We start from the raw sequence: 11,126 nt of genomic DNA, 5'->3' as shown, positions 1-11,126 counted from the left end.
CCCCGCCTGCCTCTTTCCGCATCCCACATTTTCTGTTTTTTTTTTTCCCTGACTTAAAATAGGAGAGATGTTGGGGAGGCTACCACCACAGGTTTAGTCCACTAGGTAGACTTGATTTAATCATGCATATGAGAAGGACGCCTCAGGGTAAGAAGTAATAAGGATATTTCCTTTGAATCCCTGTTCCTAGCTCACTATATCAAGTTTATGTCTTGCTGAACACCCAAAGCCAATTATTATTACATTTTTTACATTCTTAAGGACCGCCCTTTAGACTAGCAAAAAGCATATGCCAAGGCTAAAACATCCTTCCATTATGTGAGTGTTGGGAGGATGACCAGGGAGAGACCTGGCATAATGTGAAGTTATTAGTGGTCTAACAGGAATCCTGGGGCTGAGGATGCTAAAGGGAAGTGAAGTGAGTTGGGGCCAGAGTCATAATGCTTTATGTCTACATCAGGTTTCCAGAAGGAGAAAGGTGCCCTCTAGTGGAATAAAAAAGCATAACAGCTCTTACTATTAATAACGCTTCTGTTTCTACAGGCAGTCATTACTGGCTGAAATTCTGACACCATGAACTGGCATAATTCTTTTTACCAGCAACAACTAACACAAATCACTTATTATATTCCGGGAACTGTGCTAAGTAAGCACTTTACAAGCATTACCTCACTTAATCTTCACAACCGTATGAGATAGATACCATAGCTCCCCTTAAGAAATTGAAGATCAGAGGTTTAATTTGCCTAACGTACTCCAGCTAATAAGAGAAGAAAAAGATTACAATTAAATTTTAAACCCTCCTAAGAAATCTGCCTCATAAAACTATGTACGTGCACACACAGAGAGACAGAGACAGAGAAAGAGAGAAAGAGAACAAGAACTATATTTTTTAAATATCTGCTACTCTTTGCTCATTTTTTCCTCCCCCATCTTTTTTAAAACCATTTTATTAAGGTATGATTGATGTTGCTTTGCTCATTTGTAATAGAATATCTAACTATTCTGCTTTGGCTTGGAATGAGCAAATCTGTTTCTGAATAAAATTTTATGTTTCCCCAGGTTTCTCTTTAAAAAATTATTGAATACTTGTGATTTAAAGAGGCATTGACTTTTTAATTGTTAGAGGCACCATCATGAGCCAGGTCATGAACAATATTATTCCTCACTGTCACCAGTGCTTCTGGACCACCTGCCAAAAGAAACTTCTTTGTGTTCATTTCTGTTTTCTTTTACTTGTGTCTCCCACACCCAAAAAATTGTTCAATTAATTAAATATCTACTACTGCAACCTAAAATAAATTAATAGCCCTCTTAACATTATTAAAATACTATATTCTGGGAACTTGTTTTACACTAAAACATCACAAAAACCTCACGAAGAGTAGCTCTATCTCTGAACAAAAACAATAAGCCTTCATTCTACCTTTCATTACTATCTAATGAAATTAACATAGTATATTGTTGCCGTGGCATCAGGTTTTAAGGACTGGCTACTAAAAAGAAGAAAAAAAAAAATGGCTTTAGTATCTGAAAAAAAGTTCCACTTACTGCAAGCACAAATCAATATAGGGACTAACAAAAAATTAATATTCATTTTAGGCTGCATCAAAAATGCTAATCCCCTTCCTTCTGCCCACAGAATAAATCTAAAATTCTTGGCTGAGTATATCAAGTACCTCAGATGGGCCCCCAAGCCACTTTCTCAGCCTCATTCATTCAGAGAACAAGTATTTTTGGAGCATTTTACATAACTGCTAAGTGCTCTTCTAATTGTTAGGGATACAGCAGTGAATCAAACAAAGGCCCCAACCTCAATATTAATTAAAGAAAAACAAAGGAGGAAAGGGGCAAAGAGTAATGGCGTAAGCAATGGTGGTGGCCAGGGTTGGCCTCTGGTAAATGACGTTTGAGCATACACCTGAAGTAAGGAAGTGAATCACGGAATATTTGAGGAAAGACTATCCAGGTGGAGGAAACAGTGCAAAGCTCTGAAAGCAGACACTCATGTTCATAGTAATTGAGAAGAGCAAGACCAATATGGCTGAATTATATAGCAAATGGAGTGGTAGAAAATGCACTGGTTTTGTAAGGTGAGGGGACTGAGAGATATTGGCATACCATAGAACTTTCTAGACTACGGTAGGAATTTCCGTTTTACTCTGAAAGGAAGGCAGGGGAAATTTTAAGAAGAGATAAACATCACATGACATGTTTGCAAAAGATTGTTCTTGCTGTAGTGTGGAGAATAGAATGGAGAGGGCATTTTATTGCCTTAGAGGCAAAAGCAGCTTTATGTCTTATTCCTAGTGTCTCCCTCAACTAAATGTATTAGCCCTTTGGCAATTTGTATTTTCTGAGCTCATATGTGCCAGGCATACGTTTTCTCATTTAATCCTCAAAACAAAACTGCAAAGTAGATATCAAAAAAGAGAGGGAAAACAAAAAAGGCTCAGGCAAGGTCAGGACACTTGTCCACAGTAAAGAGCTAATAAAATAGTGGAATCATAAATCTGCTGATTCTGAAGCCCAGACTTCTTTTACAGCACACACTATTCTGATTCAACAAATTCTGTAGCAGGCTTTTCACCACTCAATCTTTGCACACATATTATCTCCTGGCTAGAAAAAACACCCTTCAGGCTGGGCCCAGTGGCTGATGCCTGAAATCCCAACACTTTGGGAGGCCGAGGCGGGTGGATCACCCGAGATCAGGAGTTCAAGACCAGCCTGGCCAACATGGCGAGAACCTGTCTCTACTAAAAATACAAAAATTAGCTGGGCGTGGCAGCAGGCGCCTGTAATCCCAGCTACTCAGGAGGATGAGGCATGAGAATCGCTTGAACCCGGGAGGCAGAGGCTGCAGTGAGCCAAGATCACGCCATTGCACTCCAGCCTGGGTAACAAGAGTGAAACTCTGTCTCAAAAAACAACAACAACAACAACAAAAACACACACCCTTCTACTCAATTTCCTTGATGGCAAACTTCTGTTTGTTTTTCTATATCAACTCAAGTATCCTCTCCTGAGTGAAATCTTTCCTGGTTTTCCCCAGGCCACTTAGCTGATCCATCTTCTGTGCTTCTTTATCAGTTGTTCTATCTTCATTTCTCTGAAGCAACACTTACCTGGTTATAGTATACATTTCTCCACTTACATATTTCCTCCACTGAGTTCCTCATGATAGAGCGACGCCTTATTTGTGATCACCACCCCCCACACCCCCCGACACACACAGCCCTAGAACAGTGCCAGGAGCCAAATAAATACTAGTTGAATAAAGTACTATAATAAACTATTAAACAGAGTCCCCACATTCTACTCTATGAATTCTGGACATCTGGTGCCACATTAAAAAAAAAAAATTGAAAGCTAGAAAGCATCTAGAAAGGTGAAACGGTAAAGAAGAAATAAAACTTTTACCAAAGAAATAATTTAGAAACATTGAGCCTAAAGGATGGAACATTACTTCTGTTGATTTCAACAGAAATTAGGAAGATTGAAATATGTATATGAAATTGTCTTAAGAGGCAAAATTAAGAGTAAAATGTGAAGACAGAAATGTAAATCATGACTTAACTGAAGCAAGTATATGCTAAGAAACAAAGCATTCCGACTGCAGAGAATTTTCCACTTCCAGAATTGCTCATATAAAACTATATGACCATCTTGATGAAAAGTAATGAAAGGAATGCTCTATGCTCCTGCTATATTGAGGGTGCCATTCATGTAACTCCAGAATATAAACAGTAGTCCCAATTTCTAGTTCATGAACTATTTTATGAAGTTATCACATTCATTAGATTTTGAAAATATTGGCTCAAGAGTTTTCACGGTTCCTCAGTTTTCTAAATGACCTGGTATTTTCACTACCTTACCCATATGCCCACATTTCTTGGACAGGCTATGCAATATGTTGCAAAACAAGGAGGGCAAAGGAGGATGAGTGAGATATTTTATATTTACATTGTGATGAGCTCTCTCATCAAAACCTTCCTACAACCTGATCAGCTTCTGCACTAGTTATCAATGTACGGTCTCTCAGCTCCCAATTCACCCCAGAGGGTCTCTCCTGCTGCTTTCTGGCAGCTACACCATCAATAAGAAGCGTGGGTGTGAAGACATCTGGGGCAGCTCTGCCCTAGCCACGCTCTGGTAATGTATTATTCTTAGTGACTTTATAGACCTCATCCGGGCTGGTGATCACCTTCTACGACCCTCCCAAAAGAGACACCTCACACTCCAGATGTCCTGCCAGCACTAGTGCCCCTCCCCCAACTCTTTCTGCATTCTCACACACTGAGTCACCATTGTGGCTTCCTGCTTGCCTGGTAACTAAACACCAGCCAGCACTGGTCTGAGCAAACCATAACTTTCACTGCAATCCAGCGAGCCACAGTTACCCTTTTTTCAACAAGGTCTGAATCCAGACTTTGGGCTCCCTCTTCCAAGTCTGCCCTTTCTTGGGTACTCTCCCTCAACTAGTTTAAAACTTTTTTATTAAACTTCCCTTGTTTAAAATCACTATTTGGTTTGCTTCTAGATTAGACCCAAACTGATAGTGACCATTGAGCCAGGCTTGAAAAAGCAACACAATGCAAAACCACATGTGGTCTGCATGTGTTCCCTAAATTCATGTGTTGGAAACTTAATTCCCAATGCAACAGTATTGGAAGACAGAGACTTTTGGGAGGTATTTAAGTCATGAGCAGAATCAATGTCATTCTAAAAGAGCTTGGTGAAGGAAGCTGGTGGATCCCTTTTGCTTTCTGTCCCTTCCATCATGTAATGACACAAAGTTCCCCCCCTCCAAAGAATGCAGCATTAAGACGCCATTTTAGAAGCAGAGAGCAGCCATCACCAGACAGCCAAACATCTGCCAGCAGCTTGGACTTCCCTGCCTCCAGAACTGTCAGAAATATATTTATGTTTTCTATAAATTACCCAGTCTCAAGCATTTTGCTGTAGCAACATAAATGGACTTGACTCTTTATAATGGACTGAATTTTCCTAGATTTAGTCCTAAATCTGTAAAACTGAACATATAACTGATGAAATGGAAAACATTTAAAAACTAAAAAATCTGTTTTGAGGGCTCAAGAGGTCAGAAGGCTACAGCAACGTCATCCAAAATACACAACTGTTGCTCCTATTTAATGAACAGGAGCAGCAACATCAAAAAAAGAAATAGCTCCTCCAAAATAGGTTTAATTTACCTCATTTTAAAGTGGATTTTCAGGCAGTTGGAGTTGGGACCAACAGGCGGAGCACAGAGGATTTTCAGGGCAGTGAAAATAGTCTGTATTGAGACTGCCAGGTGGAAATGGGTTCCCAGAGAAATTCCAACAGGCCTGTGCACTGGGATGAGTGTGCACTGGGGTGGAGCCACAGAAGTTCATGCCATTTGCAGCAAGGAAAAGCCTGGCCCTTCCTCTTCCTGGGTGAAACCTGGAATTCGATCTGGGAGGCAGGAAGCACACTAGCAGGGACTCTGGTTTTTCAGAGTCCTTGTTTCCCTTTTTTCCTTTTTGCCCGATAAATTCCATTATTCTCACCCCTCAAAGGGTCTACAAGCCTAATATTTCAGGGCTATGTCACAAGGACCCAGCTCTTAGCTGCACTAAGGAGTAAGTCCTACAACAGCTTTGGTGCCCAATGTTTAGAAGTGAATGAAATGGGGACTCAAAACCTCTCACTGTCCTTTCTAACCTTTTTCATCCTTGGACTTCTAAGGGTAGGGGAAACTGTGCTCCTACCTCTGTCACTCCCAGGGGTCGGGGCATTTCCATGGCCTTTTCCTTTCTTTTTTGGGATAGACAGGCAAGCAGGGGCTTCTCACTCCTCCTTCCCTCCTGGTGTTAGCTGGGGGTCCTTGCTCCCAGAGCTCCCAAGATGGTGGTGGGCGCTTCCAAAATGGCGGCGGGCGGCTCTCAAGATGCTGGCAAGCCTCGTGTTCTCTGACTTGGGGTTCTCGGCCTCACAGATTCCAAGGAATGGAATCTTGGGCCATGCAGTGAGTGTTATAGCTCTATTGGAAGCCGTGGGTCACGGAAGAGAACCGTGGAACCCAGTGACTAGTGTTCAGCTCGAATAGCACAAACCTGGACACTTAGCCATGCAGGAACAATGGCAAGCCTTTAGCCCGATCCGGAGTGGCAATGGGCGCCTCACTGGATCAGGAGCACAGCAGACACCCTGCTGGATCCAGAGGATGGAAGTCAGCGGCGGGTCTGCGACGGCGGCAAACAGCAGTGGTGGACGGCGAGCAAAAGCTCAGCTTGAGCCGTAACAAACATAGACCAGAAGAGAGTGCAGCTGCAAGATTTAATAGAGTGAAAACAGAGCTCCCATACAAAGGGAGGGGACCCAAAGAGGGTAGCCGCTGCCTGCTCCAATGCCTGGGTTTATATCCCTATCATTGTCCCTCCTGCTGTGCTCTCAGGCAATAGATTCTTGGCTACTCTTTACCTCCTGTTTTTGCCTAATTAGAATTTTAGTGAGCTCTCCTTATTACCTGATTGGTCAGGTGTGAACTAAGTTGCAAGCCCCTTGTTTAAAGGTGGTTGTGGTCACCTTCCCAGCTAGGCTTAGGGATTCTTAATCAGCCTAGGAAATCCAGCTGGTCCTGTCTCTAACTGGCTGGGGCTGGGGAATGCCACGAGATCTTCCCCTTCCCCTGCCAAGGGGTTCAACTCCAACAGATAGTAATTAAGTTTTTCTCCCTGGTGGAGCAACCAGTTGTATAAGAATAAGATGCTCTTCCTCAGGCATTTTTAAACTGTTTCTTTTCTTCCCCTTCTCCAACCCACCAGCAGTTAACTTTTAAGTGAGGTTTTTCCTTCAGAAGATGTTTTACTAGGCTAGGAATGATAAGGATCACTGTTTATATCCTCTGTAAAGTTTTGTGAAAAAGGATTTGTGAGGCTGATCTTCAGCTGTAGCCAATCTGGTGTGCTTTGCATGTCTGCATGGTTCGTAGCAAACTTCGCTGCAGGCCTCCATCTTGTTCTACATCCTGGGGGTGCGGCAAGGCTTTGTTTAGCAATCCTGCCTTAGGGAATAAGTCCTTTCTGGTTTGATATCTGTATGTTTTCCTAGCCTGCTCTCTTACAGGGCTCCACCAGGGGATTGAGTTTTCTCCTACCTGTCTGCGTAGCTGTATGTGTTGTGTGTATGATGTCTGTAAAAAGAGCTCTAATTAATTTGACCTAAAGAAACACAGCGCTTAGATCAAATATTTTTTAAAGGGAAGATAAAAGCTGTGGTACCTCTCAGTTCACGTGACTTTAATCTTTGAGAAAAAAATAAAATAGCCTTAAAGATTATTGGTTAAAAGCAGATGCCATCAAAATGTAAATAGTAGACTAAATTATGCAAGTTAGATGTAAAGTTTGCGAAGTGTTTTGAGGTTATAAGCTGCTTTTGGGGTGTTGAGAACTATCTGACTTGCCTGATCCACAACTGTTAAGGCCTGGGGACATATGGAACTAACCACGCCTTCTATTATGCTGGAAGGAGTCAAATCTTGGTTGTACCTGGCACACAATTAAAACAACTTACCAGGTTTTACATTAAAGTTAAAATTGCTAGGAGTTACCATTATAACATGTAACTGAAACTACTGGAAATATATTTACATGCAAGGTGTGTAAGAACAGTAAAATGTGTTTTTTAGTAAAAGGTTATAAGAAGGCATGGAAATGTAAGTTTTTGCCTAGGGATAAAGGATTGTTTTAAATTAGATAAGATAAAGCTGAAGGGTCAAACAAGTGGTGAAAGGATTATAAGAATTAATCTTGCAGAAGAGGTTCTCTGTTTCAACATATTGACTAAATTCAAAAAAGGTATTATATATTTTTTCTGTAAATTGAGCATTAAAATAAAAGCACATCTTTAGCAAAATTTGTAAAGGGTTATAAAAAGGTTTTTGCTTCTTTAAAATTTTGGAGTCATCATTTTGACAAAATAAATAACTTATGGTAATATGAAATTCTATTTCATAATATCAAGTGGTTTGAACTTCTAACATATTTAATAGGCTTCCCAAAATCAAACTTCAGTTTTGAAATTGTCTTTCCTGATGCCGGGCTTTTTGGATGGATCAGAGGGCCCCTGAAACATGCAGAAAACAAGTAAACATGGTTATTTGACATACTTAGTCACATGGGATTGCCAAGATGATGTTCAATCTTCTTTAGGTTATATTTTGGTGAATAATATATGTTCCAAAATTATATGGGACTTCTAAAATTCTAATGTCTAAGTATATGCTATCAATCATAATTAAGGTTGTAAACCACAGAGATAACCAAACTTCTTTGTCAATTGTGTTTCTAACCATCCTGGACATTTTGCTATTGACAATTATTATCTTGTTTTAATCCTTTTCAAAAGATGGTTTATTATAAGCCATAGGACTGTGACAGGTGCTCTCAAATACAGGTTTCTGATAAGTTTGGAGATTGTGACATTGGAATAAAGGAAAAATGTACAAGACTCAAAAGAGCTGAAGTGTTCATGAATATCAGGCAAAACGAGTTCACTAAATGGACTGAACTCAGGAAACTAAAGCAAATCTTTTTGACTTTTGCTTGGAACACTGCTGATCCATGTTTTGTTTTTCAAAGTCAAGGAAACTTATTTTGCACTATTTACGGCCTTTAATTAAGTTACACTCCTGTGAACAAAATTTGGAGTATGTTTGTTTCTCTCTGCCTGGTTCCTCTAGAATTTGGAAACTATGTGTGAGTATTCTTAACTTATGGCAATACAGTTATTTGCATCAGTGCAATAAGGATCCATTTTTTTTTCAACAGTATGCAATTGGAGAAACTGGTTATTTTACCAAGGCTTTGACTGGAAGGGTATGCTTCCCTTTAAGAAGTCAATCTTGACTTGCAGAGCTGCTAAAAGCCCTGTAGGAAGAACTGGCCTCATACCCTTGCCTACACAGTCCCTGTACAGGGTTCCTGGCCTGTGGTCAGTAAAGAATGTCACTTTGTAACAGGCCTAGGAGCTCCAAGTTTATCTTGGGACCTTAAAAGGAGAGAATCACCCAACTTACAGGTATTTGAGGATACAAACCCATGGCTGGGCTCAGCTTAAAAAGTCTCACCTGAGATTCCTTGTGGACCAGTGTTCCATCAAAGCCAATCCAAAAGGACTATGTACAAATAACTATTCTTGCTGCACCTTATGCAAATAATCAGGCCAAGTATAAGACTAAAGTCCATTTTGGAAACCACTTAGTCCTATGATGGTTTGTGTTTTTTAAACAAAAATGATGACTGGTGACAGAAAAATTAGGTTTCAAAATTTATCATACATTTGTTATTAAATTCTAAACTCATTAGTTGTTTTTAAGTTTTCACCTACATTTTAGATTAACCCTACTTGTTCCTGTGAACCAACCAGCAATCTCCAGCTGCAGCTCAGAAAGAACACAGGGATGGGTAATGTAAAAATCTGGATCAATATTCTAGTTCTGAGCAGTTATCCTGCAAATCCTGCCAGGTGATGGGAATAAATAGTATGCCCATCACTTGGAGGTTTCCTTTATGGGAAAGTAAGACCAAGGGAGCTAAACAAAGCCAAGCACAATGCACCCAAATCTTAGCAGCATAACTATAGCCACGAGTTATCTGGATGTATCACAAGACATCCTTTTCTCTCCCTTGTTGGAGGACTCAATTCCACAGCTTCACCTTAGCATTTGTCTTATGGTAATAAGTCCGTGCAAATCCCTCTGAGACATATTTCTGTCCCAAACTCAATTCCAAGCTTCAGGTCAAAGCCCTAGGAAGGAAAACTGGATCTGAGGGATCCAGAGACAGATGATAACGGAAAAGGCACAACACAGGTGAACGTGGCTGATTCCTGTCAATTAAGCCACGCTTCCCATTTCATAGATAAAGGCCATGCTAGTATTCATGGCATAAATGAGGTCTAGGGAATTCAAGGCTATGGACAGCAGGGGAAACAGAACATATGTGGGAAGAGTGGATAATTCCCACCCCCTAGGCCCCGTTAACATGAGTGAAAGTCACTTTAACATCCATGGCGGTACCCGCCAAGGTCGCCAGGACTCAGGGATACAAGGACGAAAGAGGAGAATGCTCATCCTTCTCTCACGTACCCCGGGTATCTGCTAAAAAGAGAAGGGAACCAGGGATGCCTGCTCCCCTCTTTCTAGATGGGTGGCCTTTCTTCTTCAGTTTGTACCCCTTTCAAATGCATCCTGAGCTCCTAGGACTCTTTTGAAAAGAGCCTTTATCTTTCTCCCTCCTTTGTCCTCTCTTCACAGATAGGTAATTGTGTCTCCAAGCTACAGGACACTCCCCTCAGATGCACCCTTCGCACTAGGAAAAGTTAATTTCCCAAACCTTAAACTGGTTGGCTTAGTATTGGGCTCAGGGGAAGGGAATCCAGAAGCCCAACATGCTGGCAAAAGGGTAAAAGTGTTTATTACCAGTCAGGCTTTTGACCTCCCTATTGCTGTGCTAACTGGTAAAAAGCCTTGGGATCTTTGAGCTGTCCTTACCTCTCCCTTTGTTTCGTTTTGACATATATTTTTTAATAACCCGGTTTGTCTGTTCTTGCCTTTAGGCCATCAAACTCCAAATGGTCATGCAACCGGAGCCTCCGATGATGGCCCCTTCTGCTGGGAACCCTTAAACAGGCCTATGAAGAAGCTCTGACTGCCATTTTCCCAAAATAGTGCTCCCTGTCATCAGGAAGCAGTTAAGATGGGTCTTCGTCCTTATCCTTATCCTTCTTCTAACGGCAATTAGATGTACTTTAGAGGGGAATGAGACAGCCAGGTGGGAAGGGGTCCCCAGAATCCAACTGGCCTGTGCACTGAGAGGATTGCATACTGGGGTGGAGCCAAAGTTTATTATACATCTGCCCAAACTCACAGAATGTACAAGAGTGAACCCTGACATGAACTATGGACTCTGGGTGATTATGATGATTCAGTGTGGGTTCACCAATTGTTCACCACTCTGGTGGCAGACAATGAAAACGGGAGGTTGGGCATGTGCAGGAGCAGGAGGTTTATGGGAAATCTCTGTGAAGATTATTTTCTTCTTCATTTTGCTGTGAGCCTGAAATTGCTCTTAAAAAGG

The 11,126-nt window shown here is 41.2% G+C and overlaps 2 annotated features.

The window, feature by feature from the left end:
• Window positions 375–444: an enhancer, noted in NCBI's record as "active region_13350". NCBI's record gives its function as "activates an Ori minimal core promoter by ATAC-STARR-seq in GM12878 lymphoblastoid cells {active_cell/tissue: GM12878}" and the evidence as "EXISTENCE:reporter gene assay evidence [ECO:0000049][PMID:35858748]".
• Window positions 5,972–6,657: an enhancer, noted in NCBI's record as "NANOG-H3K4me1 hESC enhancer chr18:51912942-51913627 (GRCh37/hg19 assembly coordinates)". NCBI's record gives its function as "activates a minimal SCP1, AML or CMV promoter by ChIP-STARR-seq in naive H9 embryonic stem cells {active_cell/tissue: H9 hESC(naive)}" and the evidence as "EXISTENCE:reporter gene assay evidence [ECO:0000049][PMID:30033119]".

This window comes from Homo sapiens, chromosome 18, assembly GCF_000001405.40.
Source record: "Homo sapiens chromosome 18, GRCh38.p14 Primary Assembly".
In the NCBI taxonomy this organism is placed as follows: domain Eukaryota; kingdom Metazoa; phylum Chordata; class Mammalia; order Primates; family Hominidae; genus Homo; species Homo sapiens.
This window is presented reverse-complemented; position numbering and strand designations above follow the sequence as displayed.